A 16,957-nucleotide genomic window follows, 5' to 3' on the forward strand; every position below is an offset into this window, starting at 1 on the left:
GGTGGCGCATGCCTGTAATCCCACCGTTTTGGATGGCTGAGGCCTGCAGATCACCTGAGGTTGGAAGTTCAAGATCAGCCTGACCAAGATGGAGAAACCCCATCTCTATCAAAAATACAAAAAAATTAGCCATGCGTGGTGGCGCATGCCTGTAATCCCAGCTACTCGGGAGGCTGAGGCAGGAGAATGGCTTGAACCCGGGAGGCAGAGGTTGCGCTGAGCCGAGATGCGCCATTGCACTCCAGCCTGGGCAACAAGACCAAAACTCCGTCTCAAAAAAAAAAAAAAAGTTTCCCTGGTAGAGAGCCTCGTTCTGCAGACCTAGAGGCTGTGCTGATTCTTCTGCAAAGAGACTTCCAGTCTCACTTCTGCTCCAATAAACTCACAGGTCAGTGAGACAGTGCATAAACACAACCTATCATACAGGTTAGCAAAAGAATCTGGCTGACTAAAAGAATTGGTCTATAAAGAAAGTAAAGCTCTGGCCTGCCTGGAGATAAAGCCCAGCGCATCACTAAAGGAAACAGAGAAGAAAGAGAGAAAGCAAGCAGTGCATATCACCAGGAACCTTCCTGCCAGGAAAAAGTGGGTGGGACAGCAGTAGCAGGCATCATGCTTAAATAACACGGTAATTATTAGCTCCATTTATCTACATACCTCCAAAGCGAGCTCTCTGTGATGCTCCCCAGGTTATAGTCATAGAGCTTTGTCAAAATGAGAATCACCTGAAGGCAAAAGAAGAAATCATGGTTAGTCTCAAACAATTACAATCTCTTAGAACTGAAATGGCCCAAGGGAGGGCTTAGGATTCCTTTAATAGTCACTTAACATAATTGAATGAATTGTTACAGCATTTGCCACACTGACTGGGGAAAGGTTGGCTTGTCTTTCTGCCTTCCACTGAATTGCTTAGGCCTATCCTCTCCCCAGCTTTCTCCCTGTCACCCTGCAGCAAGGGTTACCTGCTCCTGCAGGCATTTCTTTCCCTAGTGGGTTTAGCGCTTTTAGGGAAGGCTGGCAGAGCTGCCAAATATGCACACAACTCAGGTACTCACTGAGCAGATGCCTGGGAGAAAGGAAGGTCAATGATTAGTTTCCAGCCCTAGTAGCTGGGTGCATTGAGCAGATTACCCAATGTGCCTAGCTACCATCTTTTTGGGAGACAGCAAAGAATTATTTGAAAGAATGTCAGTATGCTCATTTATTAAGGGGGATGAACAGTAATGCTATCTCCCAAAAGAATTGCTGTTTGAAGTTAAATTAGGAAATAAATACAAATTACATATCTATTAGCATGTGGTTTTTTTTTGTTTTTTTTGTTTTTTTTTTTGGAGATAGAGTTTCGCTCGCTCGTGTTGCCCATACTGGAGTGCAGTGGCACGATCTCGGCTCACTGCAACCTCTGCCTCCCAGGTTCAAGCAATTCTCCTGCCTCAGCCTCCCGAGTAGCTGGGATTACAGTTGCCCACCACCACGCCCGGCTAATTTTTTGCATTTTTAGAGATGGGGTTTCGCCATGTTGGGTAGGCTGGTCTCGAACTCCTGACCTCAGGTGATCCACCTGCCTCAGCCTCTCAAAGTGCTGGGATTACAGGTGTGAGCCACCGCACCTGGCCTAGCATAGGATTCTTAAATGTTAATTCCTTCCCTTTGCTCTATGTGAGCTTGGTTTTAACTTTCTTCTGACTTCCAATTTCTAGGAAAGCCATTAAATAGAAGCCACATTGGCAGGGCTAAACGACAGCATTTTAACGAGCAAATCTATTTCATGGGGTCCAGATAATTACCGTGTAATATATTTCTTATGGAACCCTCCATAAGAAACAGAGAAAATCAAAAATTAGGAACAGGTCTCAGGAAAGAAGCCGTAGAATTGTGGAATGCTAAATTTAAGCTATATTCGCTCCACAGCAAATCCTCCTCCGAAATAGAAAGCAGCACTATTTCCAACTTTACCCAGAGGAACCTAAACTATTTCATTCTTTCAGAATTCAACGAACATTTATTAAACATTTATTAGGAGCCCAGGATTTTGTCTGACGCCAGAAGAGAACACAAAGAAAAACAGATTCCGTCTATGAGTCCGTGATCCAGTTAGGACAGAAGCGCTCATGAAAGAAAAGGGAAGTTGATAAAGAGCTATATACCCCTTCTCAGTCACACCAAAACCCTTCCCGTTACAGCTGCTCCGGAAGACAGCTTCTTTTGGTGTCTGCAGCAATGAACAGAGTCCACCTGGTTATTTGAAATACATGAGCCCAAGCACACTTGCGAAGATTCCACAGAGCAGTGTGTGTTCCTAACCACTGATTTCTCCACCTTTTACTTGCTCTTCTTACATAAGGGAAAAACATTATGGGTTTGCTCAGTTTTCTGTCGAAGTTCGTATTTTCCTCCTGGTACTCATAACCTAGAACATTTGGCCCAGCCCAGCTGTTTCCAACTCAGCAGAAAAATGTTGACATTGATTTCCTGAATTCTTCTCTGAAGGCCAAGGGATCAGTTCTAGCCACAGTAAGCATAGAACATTCTAACCTTAAATTCCGGGGCTGTAAGCTGCTGAGGAATGCTGAGTCCAAGTTCCACTCTACTAGCACAGCGTTTGATTTACTGAAGGCACAAGCATCAGTGAACACATTCTTAACTTTTTAATTTCACAGCAAGCAAACTGGAACTCCCTGACCTTAGGTTTGTTCTGAGTTCAAGGAAAAAAAAATTACAGTAACTTAAAAACAGGCAGAGATCCCTGAGTACCTGTCATCTAAGGCCGCCCCTCTCCTAAACTACAGCACAGCTTCCTTCCTTCCAGGTCCTGTTCAAAACTTGCTTCTTTAGCAAAACGTGAGCATGTGTGAGGTGCGGGGCACCCCATGGACACATCAGATGGCATGCCTGTGGTGGGGGCATATGCTTAACAGATCCATGTGCCAATTAAGTCGCTCTCAGTGCTAAATTTCAATCACCGCCATCCCAGGAACGCTGATCAGTGGCAGCAGGGTGGCTGTTTGTTTGAAGACACAGAATGATGTTCCTACTCCACCTCAGTACAATTTTGCCGAATAAGCCTATAAATCCCCCACCAAGAAAATAGGGGTGTGGGCATAAAGCATTTCTAGGTAGTTGCTCTCCTGATACAAGACCGCAGTAAACTAAATAATGAAGTTCAGCTGGTCACAGGCTGTGTCTCCCATTCTTGTGATGAGGGAATTCAAAGGTGCCCCGGAGAAGGAACCCTTTAACCCAGCATGTGATGGTGTGGAGCCACTTGCACAAGCACACAGAAATTGTTTAAGCAATCCCAGGGCAGGCGGGCAGGGAGGTAGAAACCGCTCCCTGCCTCTTCTTGCAGGGCTAGTAAAACTGAAATGCCAGTGATACACTCAGGCAGTTTATCAACACAGCACCAGAAGTAGAGTCCTTTATGACATTTGAAAGCATATCTGCTTGAATCAATCTATTTAATCTTTCTGTTTTCAGAACAAGAGCAAGAAAGAAGGCACAACTGCTAACCTTTAGTTTTCAATCGATTATTTGAGATTTCTTTTTCTTTTTTCCCTTCACTGCCTCTGTGCATTATTTACCATCTTATTACTGAACAACGATGCATCCTTATGTTAGATATGTTTTGCTGTTTGTTTGCTTTTCTGTGACAGCAATACTATTTCACAAATCAGTTTCTGTTAAGGGATCCAGAGCCAAAATCACTACATTTAAATGAGAAAATGTGAAAAAATGAAATTGCCTCCCTATTCTGGTTTTATTCTCTGTTGTTTTTGTTGTATTTTTCAAACTCAAAATGGGGCAAAATGAAGCTGTTTTGTTTGCTTTCGTTTTTGTTTTGAGATGGGAGTCTCGCTCTATTGCTCAGTCTGGTCTCAACTTCTGGGCTCAAGGGATCCTCCCACTTTAACCTCCTTAGTAGCTGGGAGTGAGGTGCAGGACACTGCGTCCAGCTTTCAGTGGAACTTTTCAATTAAGTGAAATGTTGTATGTGCTTAAATAATATACACATAATTTATTTTTATTCATTCAGCACACAATTTTCATGTATAGAAAAACTGAGTTCAAGTGTAGAGTATTCAAGTTCAATCAAAAAGCAAAGCTGTTTTGATGAACACATATACATCTCAAAATGCATATGAACATATATACCCCCACACAAAGTGGCATATCCATCAGCACCCCATTTATTTCTGTATCTTGTTTTCATTATACAGTGTTAAAACATCCCTGATTCAAAACAAGTGGTCACAATATGGTACTAGCTTTTTAAGGTTCCTCTCTAAATCTTAGGATATTATCTTTAAATAGCTATGACCCAAATTATCTAAGACTTGATAACCTCCACCTATGCCATACCAGGACCTCTGCATCCAGTTATTTCTGGGATTTCCACAGTGACATGCTTCAAGTATCCCCCTCGCCAGTCTAGGACTTGCTGTCAGCACATGACATTTGTACTTCTTTCACTGTGACTCCTTCTTGCCACATCTATCGCTTACACAACTTTTGGGAGGAACTTCACTTGGTCCATACGTTTTCTCTTTTTCTTTTTCTTTTTTTTTTTTGAGATGGAATCTCGCTCTGTCGCCAGGCTGGAGTGCAGTGGCGTGATCTCGGCTCACTGCAACCTCCGCCTCACAGGTTCAAGCAATTCTCCTGCCTCAGCCTCCCGAGTAGCTGAGACTACAGGTGCGCCACCACACCCAGCTAATTTTTGTACTTTTAGTAGAGATGGGATTTCACCATGTTGAGGAGAATGGTCTCGATCTCTTGACCTCGTGATCCACCTGACTCAGCCTCCCAAAGTGCTGGGATTACAGGCGTGAGCCACTGCGCCCAGCCAGTCCATACTTAGAGAGAGGATGCCAGTGCCCACTCACCAAGCTGCTGTTCTCAAATCACCCATTCCTTGGAGGGTAGAAGGGTGCCAGAAACAGTGCCAGGTCAGGTTCTGTGCAGGAATGGGAGAGGGTCCAAGGGAGTGGGCAAGGGCTTCTTCTCCCACAGCACTGAGCCACATTTTCATAACCCGGGCTCCCAAACTATTAGTGACCCTTTGCTCAGGCCCTTACAAAGCTCCTACTGAATAATTCCATCAACTCTAGCCCTCACTCCTTCTGGATAGGGAGTTGAGAAACCATCACAAAGGACTCTGTGAGAGGAGAATGTCAATTACATTCCTCCCTTCTAGCCCCAACCTCTTTCTGCACTGGGTTACAGAACAAAAGCATTCACAAACAGATGCTGGTATATGGATGACTAATAAGACTGTTCCACTGTAAATTACCAAAAGTCAGTGAAAAATATTCTTTTGTATCAAAACAGTAGGGCAAAAAGCCTTATTTACAGGTATGCGTTGAAATGAACTAACCTGCCAGCAGCATAAGACAGGCAGTCTCTCCTATGCCAATTATCAGTCATGTAACACCTTTGACTATGACAGCATGGTTTTATTATTAACATAAAATATAATTTAGAAGTGAAACTCCAAACATTTAAGGAACCTGAGAACACCTTCCTGGTAATCTGGTTCTACATACAGCAACTTTTGAAAACTTGTGTATTAACTAAGTAGTAGATGGTAGAGAACCAAAATTTTTCTATGCTTTTCTAAACAGAAGCACAGGAATTTTCCATTTCTTTTCTTAAAAACAAAAACATAGCGTCTTCCTCTCTTCATTTACTAAAGAATTCACCCCACAGAAAGTGCGATGGAAGTGAGGCAGGAGACTGGAGGAACTTATTTCCTGGTCCTGGCAGGGTGAAATGAAGAAACCTGCAGAACTAGCAGATGACAGCAAAGGCAATCTCTAGTTGCCCTCACTGCTCTCCTTAGCGTAAGACACTCCCACCAGTGCCATGACAGTTGAGAAGTTCCATAGCAACACCTGCAAGTTACCACTCCTTTTCTAGAGATTTGTGAATAGCCCACCCCATAATTTGCAAGTTATTAAAAGTGGGTATAAATATTGCTAGCAAACAGCCCATACACTGCTACTCTGGGCTCTGGGTTAGCCCTGCTCTGGAAGGAGTTGCCACTCTGCTATACATTGCCACTTAACAAACCTGCTTTCTTCTACCATCAGCTCACTCTTGAATTCTTTCCTGAGTGAAGTCAAGAACCCTCCCAAGCTAAGCCCCAATTGTGGGGTTCACCTGCTTTGCATCAGGAGGTTGGGGGGGTGTCAGTGGATTTGTAAGGATACTTAGCCTGCCTACTGCTCATCCAAGGATGTCTTAGAAAATGGGGACATATCAGGGCTGGGCGTGGTGGCTCATGCCTGTAATCCCAGCAATTTGGGAGGCCGAGGCAGGAGGATCACCTGAGGTCGGGAGTTCAAGACCAGCCTGACCAACATGGAGAAACCCCATCTCCATTAAAAATAGAAAATTAGCCTGGCATGGTGGTGCATGCCTTCATCCCAGCTACTTGGGAGGCTGAGGCAGAATTGCTTGAACCTGGGAGGTAGAGGTTGTGGTGAGCCAAATCGCAAAATTGCACTCCAGCCTGGGCAACAAGAGCAAAACTCCATCTCAAAAAAAAAAAAAAAAAAAAAGAAAGAAAAGAAAAGAAAAAGAAAATGGGGACATATCTCTTCACTCTTCAATTAATAATAATTTGCATTCTTGTTTTCCTCTATGTCCAACTGTGGAAGCAGTATCAAATCTCAAAAGAAACAAAAGTATGGGCTTAGGATTAGAGTACACAATCCCAAAATGTCTTCCATTCCTTATGGTCTATATTTCCAAATCCTGAATAATGTAGATGATGACTAGGTCCTAGTCTATAAAACAGCACTATTTCTTTTGTATTTCTCTCAACCACTAGTGATTCAGGGATGGCATGGGCTGGTGCTTCGTGTAACACATGGGAAGACTCCACAGCACTTAGCCATACTAATGGTCATAATTGCTCTTGCCTGGGGTGGGCCATAGTCTGGCTTGGGTGAGCAAGGGAACAACCATATTGAAGATGCCAGCATGTTGGGCGGTGCTGATGCTGGCCACCTTTGTCCTGCTCCCACCATCTTACAGCAGGCCTTAGTGTTTTTTCATTGTCCAAGCTCCGATAGCTACCTCTCTGCTTATTTCAGCAGCTTGCTGGAGACCAATTGTTTAGACGTATTTACAGATCCTGAGGAAAGCAAATATGGGGGAAGAGAATAATAAGGAGCCTGAAGAGATTTGGAATAATCTTTCATGAGAATCAAAGAGTTGGATAAAATAAGAGAGCAGTGTTCAATGGCCAGAATTTTTTTTTTTTTTTTTTTTTTTTTGAGACAGTCTTGCTCTGTCGCCCAGGCTGGAGTGCAGTGGCACGATCTCGGCTCACTGCAAGCTCCGCCTCCCGGGTTCACGCCATTCTCCTGCCTCAGCCTCCCAAGTAGCTGGGACTACAGGCGCCCACCACCACGCCCGGCTAACTTTCCGTATTTTTAGTAGAGACAGGGTTTCACCGTGTTAGCCAGGATGGTCTCGATCTCCTGACCTTGTGATCCGCCCACCTCGGCCTCCCAAAGTGCTGGGATTACAGGTGTGAGGCACCGCACCCGGCCAGAAATTTGTTTTTGATTGTTTTCTTGGCACTCCAATTTTAGGGAAAAGCAGCAAACTCACAGCACTAGTTTTCTTCAAAATATGCATGTTCCAGATTGTGTGTCTTTGGCTAAGTATTTATTTGACTTTCCAACTTAAACAGAGGTTCTCATTCTTTTGGGGACCCAAGAATCCTTTAAGAATATAATCTGATACAACTTATGGGCATAAAACAATAAATATAACTTTAATAATATTACTCATCTCTTGAATCCTGGGGGGGGGCCATACATCCAAGAATAAGAACTTCCATAATTTTCAGAAAACAAGAGCTTTCTTTAGAAGAACTTTCAGCTCCAAAATTCTGCAGATTTAATTTAATAAACATTTATTAAGCTTTGTTAAAAGGCAATAATTTAAAAATACATGCTGTGAGGATACAAAACAAGGAATGATATTTGATATGAGTCTCTGAAAGCTCAGTCTTAGGAGAGGCAGACCCATACACAGGTACTCACGAAATATGAGGAAAAAAGATGTGAAGCAGGAGGGAAGTGTTTCTATCTTTCAAGGAGCAAGTAAGAGAGATGTAATCAAGAGATATTTCTTAGAAAAGGATGCATTTAAGACAAATCCCAGAAGATGAGTGTGATTCTGATAAAGACGAGAGGTATACAAAGGGTACTGCAAGGAAAGGAACTGAGGGAGAAAGCTCAGAGAGCATTAAGAAAAGGTCAAGTCTTCTGGTTTACCTAAAGGTTAGAGTATGAGCAGGGACCCAACACAATATCAGAATACAGAGATAGGCTTTGGCACTATTGTGGAGGACCTTAAATATTAGGCTGGTAGTGTGCTCTGCTCAAAACAGAAAAGGCTTTGGAACCAGAAGACGACCAGATTTTGATTTTTAATTAATTATTTTTTTTATAGGCAAGGCCTTACTCTGTCACCCAGGCTAGAGTGCAGTGATGCACTCATAGCTCACTGCAGCCTTGAACTCCTGAGCTCAAGTGATCCTCCTGCCTCAGTGTCCTGGGTGGATGGGACTACAGGCACACACCACTATGCCTGGCTAATATTTTATTTTATTTTATTTTATTTTAACTTTTTGAGATGGAGTCTCACCTTGTCACCCAGGCTGGAGTGCAGTGGTGCGATCTTGGCTCACTGCAACCTCTGCCTCCCGGGTTCAAGCGATTCTCCTTCTTCAGCCTCCCAAGTAGCTGGGACTACAGGTGCGTGCCACCACACCTGGCAAATTTTTTATATTTTTAGTAGAGACGGTGTTTCACTGTGTTAGTCAGGATAGTTTCGATCTCCTGACCTCCTTATCTGCCTGCCTTGCCCTCCCAAAGTGCTGGGATTACAGGCATGAGCCACTGCACCAGGCCTAATTTTTTTTAGATATAGGGTCTTGCTATGTTGCCTAGGCTGGACTCTAACTCCTGGCCTGAAATGATCCTCATGCCTCAGCCCCACAAAGTGCTGAGATTACAGGTGTGAGCCACCATGCCTGGCCAAGACCAGATTTTGAGTCCTGGTTTAGCCACCAGATCTAGTAGAATGCCGTTTGCAGCAAGAAACAGAATGCTAATAGTGACTCAAGCAATAAGTGGTTCATTATGTCATATAGCAGGAAGTCCAGAGTTTACGCAGTTCCAGGACTAATTTAGCCCAACAATGTCATCAAGGACCTAAGCAATGTCCACGTGTCCCCTCTGACAGTGTCAGCACTCAGTGCTACTTACCCTCATGTTTGCAAAGTGGTCATAACACTTCTTTTCATCACCTGAAGATGTGGCTATACTCAGCAGAGTAAAGAAAGGCCTCTGGTGTATACATGGGTTTTTGTGGTTTTTGTTGTATTTTTTTCTACCTAGGGAAGAAACTCTTTCCCAAAAGCCCTGCCGGCAAAACTCCCTTTACCCTCACCAACCAGGATCCTGCCACATGCCCACATGCAGTTCAATAAAGATGGAGAAAACAAGGAACTGGTATTTCCACTTGACATTTTCTATGATCAGAGGTGGGTTCTGCCAGCAAAGAAAGAGTGGGGAATGGCTGCTGAGTAGCAAATACTAGGGTGTACCACTGTGTGATTTTCAGTAAGTCGCCTGAGTCCTGAACTAACTTGTAGCGTCTATTTGATGTCTACTCTGTGTGCCAGATATCATAATTAAGAAATTTCAATTATCTGATTGTTTTATGATGATGAAATTGAGCCACAGAGAAGCTAAGTAAGTTAAATTACTAAGCCAGTAATTTGAAGTCTAAGTCACATCACATATGGAATCCTAATCCCTGTGCTAAACTTTCCTCTCTGGTATCCTGTCTAATATGGGCATGATGATTACTAGAGGCAAGGCAGAACCACTGAAATGCCCTCGCTTTCTGTTCATTTCAAAAACATTTATTGGAGCCCTGTTACCTGTCAGACATGGTACTAGTCACAAACCCTTCTCTCACTCTGCCTTCTTCTAGACATTGCTGGAATATATTTTCCTGATCATAGACATGCTTGAGTTTTTACTCTTTACTGACCTCAAGTCAATGGCATTTTGTGGTCATTTTAAAATTTAATTATTACGTTTTTTAAAGTTTTGAACCCTGGTAAAATCCTCTTCAGGAACTGATCCTTCCATTTAAATTACTGGAGAACTTGGCTGCTGCCGGATCAGGGGTTCCTGACAGCGAATGCACATGCAGCTAACTGCAGATTTCCACAGATGGTTTTACAGTATCATCATTTAGATTTAAGTGAATGCATAATTACACTCTTTTTGAGTTATCAAAGGGGAAAGAAATCAATAATGGCTAAGCTGGATCAAGGTGCTCCAGAGGAGAGTTGAAAGGGTGATAGAAATACATATGCACGCACACACCACACACACTCACACACTAACATGTGAAGTCAACAGACAAAAGTAATCTGGTCTAGACAAACATACTTGACGAAATGAAAAAATGGTAGAAACAGTGGACTAATTTGGGGTACAAGAAAGCATCCAGAAAGCAGTTAGTGGATTTTTGCCTCTGAAAAGTATTTAATCCCTAAATGCCCTTTATATTTTGTAGCAGCCCACACATAATTTAATGTCATGTTTATTTATGTAAAATCCTCTGCATGGCACTGAAATTGAGTGAAACAGCCACTGCATACCCCTTGAGGAAATTAAAAGGCAAGCCAACCAACAGTGTTGCAGACAGAGCTAGGGACATACAGATAACCGAATCAACATTAGACACAGCAAATTGTAGCACATGGAGAGCCCTCGTGAAGAGCAAAAAACTTTTTGTAAATTTGCTATACCCTCCTGACTCTGTTTCTCCACAGAGCCAGAGGTCATTTGTAGCTAAGACATAAAATCTGCACCTGAGTTGCAGGACTCTTCCTGTGCCAGGAGCTGCCATGTGAGAAATACTGCAGCTCTCACTCAAGGGAACTCATGGGTTTTCTCCCTTTGCTGAAAGCTAAGTTCCTTCCTGCTAGTAACAAACCCAAAAAATAAAAATAAAAATAAAAAATAAGCTTATAATAAGGTTAAACCAAACTATCAGACTCTAGTCATAGAGTCAGGTCTTTATATTCAGTAAATAAAACTAAACTTGTCAAATCCACTAGACTTAAGTTGCTTTTTGATGCAAATCTTGAAAATAGGGGACACATTTAACCTTTGACAGGTTCTTCTATTTCCCAAGTTCAGAGATGCTATCCACTCAAAAAAAAAAAAAATGCACTCCCTCCAAAATCTATTAATTTCACATTGCCAAACCAGAGAGTCTGAGGACACTTGTCTTGTTTCCTCCCCTGCCACCTCCTTCTCCCGTTCTTTATTTTGAATAATAAAAAGAGCATAATTCTCAAAATATATATCCATATATAATACATAGCTGACCACTGCATATTCTTCTTCCTCTTGGTAAATTATTCTGCCTTAAATGATTTTGACTTTTTTTTTACATTAAACCAGGAAAATAAGGGAGATGCTAAATTAAATATTTTTTCTAGAAAAAAACCAAATAGCTGCACCAATGTAATCCCAAAAGAGTAGCAAGATGAGATAATTATACAAAATGTGAGGAAAATGCATATTCAAGACAAGATCTTTCTACATATGGATAGTAAAATAGAAAAATGAAACAGGCCTACAGACCCAAAGCCAAGGCTTCAAGACCTGAAATTAACTGGGGCCAGGGAATAGGGGGAGAAGCTGGCAACTTAGCATGGTTGTCTCCAGAGCTGCAGTTGGAGGAAACCACGTAGCATATCTTGCGCAAGCCCATTGTTTTATAGTTAAAGAAACAAGCGATAAATCCTGTTCTCATTCCCCTCCAGTGCTTAGAAGGGGAGAGAGATTATATTCAACCTTCTTTAAGCTAGTACCTACTCAAATTAGCTCACCTGATACACAGCTGCTCAAACACAGAAAATGCACAGAATTCTCAGTTTAGAGCTGTAAAACAATAAGGAAATATTTATTGTATTATCTTCTCTCTGAAAGTCTATTAAAAAAAAAAAGACAAAAAATGCCGGGTGTGGTGGCTCACGCCTGTAATCCCAGCGCTTTGGGAGGCCGAGGCAGGCGGATCATGAGGTCAGGAAATCGAGACCATCCTGGCTAACACGGTGAAACCCCGTCTCTACTAAAGAAAAAAAAAAAAAAAGTTAGCTGGGCGTGGTGGCGGGTGCCTGTAGTCCCAGTTACTCGGGAGGCTGAGGCAGGAGAATGGCGTGAACCCAGGAGGCGGAGCTTGCAGTGAGCCGAGATCGCGCCACTGCACTCCAGCCTGGGCGACAGCGAGACTTCGTCTCAAAAAAAAAAAGAGAAAAGATGTACCAATACTTAAGAGGGATACAACCCAGGTTTTGTAGGAGCGAGATGGAAGGGAAGTAAGAGCTGGAGAAATTCTCTTCCAACTTCCCTGATGTGATGATCTGAGAAAGACAGATTTCCATGCTCTCAAATCAGTATCTGTCTGAATTATAGACACTATCTAAATATTAATATTCTTTCTATGTGAGAACCCACACACAAAGTGAACACACTATTAAGCAGCAAACTGTGTGTTAACGATGAGGGGCCCTTCTGTTCCTATGCCTTTATATATTTAGCTTCAACAGGAAGAAATGAAGCAAGTCTTTCCATTTCCACTTCGCCATCTTGTTTTTTTATGCTGTTTATTCACAGGTCTGAAGAAGTCAACTCAATTCTAAAAAGTATTATTTTTCAAGGTTAACACAAGACACTTGCAGGAAGCCAATAAATAATGCTATGCATATTACTGTGTTCCAAGTGTCAGAACATAAACCTCAATAAGAAACTGGAATAAAAACTGAAAAGAATGCAAGCTTTTAACTTTTTTTTTCATTATCTCCTCTCATTTACCATAAAGTACAACTAACAAAAGCAACAAGAATAAAACACCAGAGAGAGTCAATAAGCAAGTATCAGATCTTATCTTTTACTATGGGAAAGTCTTAATGTAGGCAAGGGAGGAAGAAAAACATTTTACTCTCTTAAGAAATTATAGTCAATCAACAATAACAACTGACTTCTCTATTAGCAGATCTTTTGTTTGCCTTGTCTGAGTGCTAAGGTGTGGTGAGACACAATTTGCCTAAAAGGAAATTCAAAACTTAAAAAAAATCTGGCTTGAAACTAAAATTTAGGTAACATCTTAAAATTCCAAGTAAAATGTATTAATAAAGAACAAGACTTTCTGTTAGGGAAAAATCCCACGGAGGTTAAGTGATTTTTATATATTCCTTGTCTTTTAGTCACAGAACCAAAATGTTTCCATGTGATTCTAGTTCTAATTCTTTACAATGGCATGGCTAGTGGGTGGGTATAAAAATTTAGCATTTTGTTACTCTTTTAAAAGAAACTTAAAATTGGAAGGGACTGGAAAGATTATCTAACTCCATCTAACTCCAACCACCTCATTTCACAAATAGTGTAGGTTATACTTTTAGAAGAACCAGTTCCTGAATAAGGAATATCTGAGAGCAAAAAATAATCTTAATATATCATTTGCTGATTTTGTCCCTGAAGCAGGCCTAGGTACAGAAGGAAGGACTGGATTGGGCCAGTTCTGAGATGGAAGAGTTGAAAGAAGTAGATCTAGGACCAGGACTAGACCCAGGTTTTGTGGGGATGAAAGTTATTCAATGTTGAGCTTCTCTTTAAGAAAAATAATACAAAGTCATAAAGAAAACGAGATCTAAAACTTCATATTTACTAGCCCAAGAAATTAGATCACAAGAAATTAATAGTGCCTTAGAGATAGACATACGTTTGTTCTGAGATATGTTCAGGTGGTTTAGCGGAAATGAGTATACAGAAATGCTTTCCGATTCCACCCTGGCTTCCTCTCTCCACCTGGAACAATCGACACCTCCTCAAACTCCCAGCATTCAAAGGAGCCAGTGCCCATGAAGGCTCTGAATCTTAAGCTTCATTAGCTTCACTGTAAATTCACCTTCAGATAGGACTCCCCATTAGATGCTCATTAAGCCTTTTCAATGAAACTATCCATTTTAGCAGTCCTAGGCTATGAATCAGGAGATATGGACCTGAGCCCAGGCTCCGCTGCCAATACTCTGTGACACTAAGAAAGTCAATATACTCTATGGCCATACCACCCTGAACGCGTCCGTTCTCGTCTGATCTCGGAAGCTAAGCACGGTCGGGCCTGGTTAGTACTTGGATGGGAGAAAGTCAATTTACTTCTTTGGGCTTCAGTTTCCTCTATGGCTGCACTACACGTTTGCAAGGGTCTCTTCCGATTACAATACCATTCAATGCGGAATACCTTGGCCTACTCTATCTTCAGTGTTGCCAGTCTTAGTAGGTACTATTGTCATTGTTCAAACTAAGAATTCTGAGTAGTCTTCCTTGACTCTATTATCCCCTTCTTCCCTCCAAATGTAACCAACATCTCTTTTTTTTTTTTTTTTTTTGAGATGGAGTTTCACTCTTGTCTCCCAGGCTGGAGTGCAGTGGCGTGATCCCTGCCCACTGCAACCACCACCTTCTGGGTTCAAGCGATTCTCCTGCCTCAGCCTCCAGAGTAGCTGGGATTACAGATACGCACCACCACGCCCGGCTAATTTTTTAAATTTTAGTAGAGATGACAGGGTTTCGCCATGTTGGCCAGGCTGGTCTTGGACTCCTGATCTCAGGTGATTTGCCCGCCTTGGCCTCCCAAGGTGCTGGGATTACAGGCATGAGCCACCACACCCAACCAGTCTCTAAGGTTTATATACCTCTCCCATCTAACCTCACCTCAACCTGATCTGGGCTACATCAACCAAAAGACCGCAATGCTTCTGACAACTCTTTTTATTTTTTTTATTTTTTGAGACTGAGTTTTGCTCTTGTTGCCCAGGCTGGAGTGCAATGGCGTGACCCCAGCTCACTGCAGCCTCCAACTCCCAGGTTCAAGCAATTCTCCTGACTCAGCCTCCCAAGTAGCTGGGATTACAGGCACCCGCCACCATGCACAGCTAATTTTTTTTTTTTTTTTTTTTTTTCAGTAGAGATGGGGTTTCACCATGTTGGCCAGGGTCATCTCAAACTCCTGACCTCAGGTGGTCTACCTGCCTCAGCCTTCCAAAGTGCTGGGATTACAGGTGTGAGCCACCATGACCGGCCTGCTTCCAACAACTTTTACAGCATCTTATCTTGCTTTCCTCAGGTCACCCTTTACACTGTTGCCACCACGATATTTTAAAAAATAGCAGTCTAAACATCTTTCCACACTCCTTAAAACATGTCTGTAGCCTCTCACTGATCTTAAAGTTTAAATTTCAAAATATGACCTCTAAGTAAGAATGGCCTGGCTCCTGTGCTCATGTTCAAATCAGCATCACGCCAGTGCCCCATATCCTCTCAGAATTCCATGTGAACTAATATGTAATATCCTCTTGCTGACCTAAGGAATTCCAGTATTTGTGGATCGTCTGACTGAATGACTGTGGTTATATTGATGATGGACTTTTCCAGGCATTAACAACATGTTTCAGTTACATGAGCAATTATTGTAACTAGCCTCTTGAGTTGAGTCACATCAGAATACCCTGAGAAATTGCAATCTACCAGCATTGCCATTTTATCAAATTCCAATTTTAGGAATGACATTCCAAATACTTTGAATTTCCTCTTGAAAGCTTAGGCTGATTAAAGGATTAAATGTTACACATAATTCAATGCTGTGTAACTCTTTTGTGAGGGCTGAGTAGTTGTAAAACATGTCTATGATCTAATCCAAAGGTTTATTGATTTTCCTGTTCTTTCGTTCAAGAGTGTTAGCTTTCATGCACAGCTCTGTGGGATTTTTGAAGGTTGGCCAGGACACTGCAGAGATCCACTTTCCATTCTGTCAGTTTCTTCTATCTAGGAAAAGACAGCCCTGGGTCAGTGCAAATATAACAGGGTGCAGATTTTGAATCAAAGTCTGAATTCCAGATTTTTCAGCTATTTCCTCTGAGACTCTCAAAATCTCTTCTTCTGTGTAATAGGAGCAAGGCCAAATAGAGTATGTATGGTGGCAGGGTGAGGGCTAATGCAAGAGGTTGAAAGGGCTGGATTCTGGTTACAGAGCCAATTTTAACACTTTGTATGACTTTAGTTAATTCATTTAACCTGTTTTTATTATTAAAGGGGACTGATAAAATTAGAAATCCCCAGGCCAGGCACGGTGGTTCATGCCTGTAATCAATCACGCCTGTAATCCCAGCACTTTGAGAAGCTGAGGCAGGTGGATCACCAGAGGTCAGGAGTTTGAGACCAGTCTGACCAATATGGTGAAACCCTGTCTCTACTAAAAATACAAAAATTAGCCGGGCATGGTGGCATGCACCTGCAATCCCAGCTACTCAGGAGGCTGAGGAGGAGAATCACTTGAACCTAGGAGGCAGAGGTTGCAGTGAGCTGTGATCGCACCACTACACTCCAGCCTGGGTGACAGAGCGAGACTCTGTCTCAAAAAAAAAAAAAAAAAAAATTAGAATTCCCCTTCTAACTGGATTATCACTAATTGACTTTATTTTTGATTTGTGTCATTCTCCTAAGCATTCTGAATAACATAATCTATCCTTCTCAACTATCCTTTACAGCAATATGTCTTACCTTTCTTCTTTTTTTTTTTGGCCGTAAAGTTTGAGTGACTTGCCCAAGATCAGCTAGGTGGGGGGGCTGAGATTTGAATCTGAACAGTCTGAGTCCAAAGCTCAGTGCCGTAGACAAGAGTAAACAGACACCTGCTCTCATTACCCATCATAGCTGTGTAGAGACTCACCAAGCTGAAAGGTTTGAGTTGAATGCTTTAGAGATGAATTACTATGGGAATAAAGAGAAGGGGACAATCTCTAGCTAGATGCAGGTAGGGACCTTTTCAATCTCTTACAACCAGCTAG

General features: G+C 42.1%; 1 protein-coding gene and 1 pseudogene across 16 annotated transcripts in view, besides 1 other annotated feature; one reads left to right on the top strand and one right to left on the bottom strand.

Annotated features, from left to right (window-relative positions):
- SORCS1 (sortilin related VPS10 domain containing receptor 1) overlaps positions 1–16,957 on the bottom strand; it is a 607,476-nt gene that overhangs the window by 382,193 nt on the left and 208,326 nt on the right. For all 16 annotated transcript variants that reach the window (XM_017015617.1, XM_047424547.1, XM_017015615.3 and 13 more), the window contains exon 2: positions 658–725. In XM_017015617.1, the coding sequence (XP_016871106.1) occupies positions 658–725 (68 nt within the window). The remainder of the gene's footprint in view (positions 1–657; positions 726–16,957) is intronic.
- Positions 524–1,024: an enhancer, noted in NCBI's record as "NANOG-H3K4me1 hESC enhancer chr10:108716137-108716637 (GRCh37/hg19 assembly coordinates)". NCBI's record gives its function as "activates a minimal SCP1, AML or CMV promoter by ChIP-STARR-seq in naive H9 embryonic stem cells {active_cell/tissue: H9 hESC(naive)}" and the evidence as "EXISTENCE:reporter gene assay evidence [ECO:0000049][PMID:30033119]".
- On the top strand, positions 14,166–14,295 carry RNA5SP325 (RNA, 5S ribosomal pseudogene 325; annotated as a pseudogene).

Source organism: Homo sapiens, chromosome 10, assembly GCF_000001405.40.
Source record: "Homo sapiens chromosome 10, GRCh38.p14 Primary Assembly".
Lineage (NCBI taxonomy): Eukaryota > Metazoa > Chordata > Mammalia > Primates > Hominidae > Homo > Homo sapiens.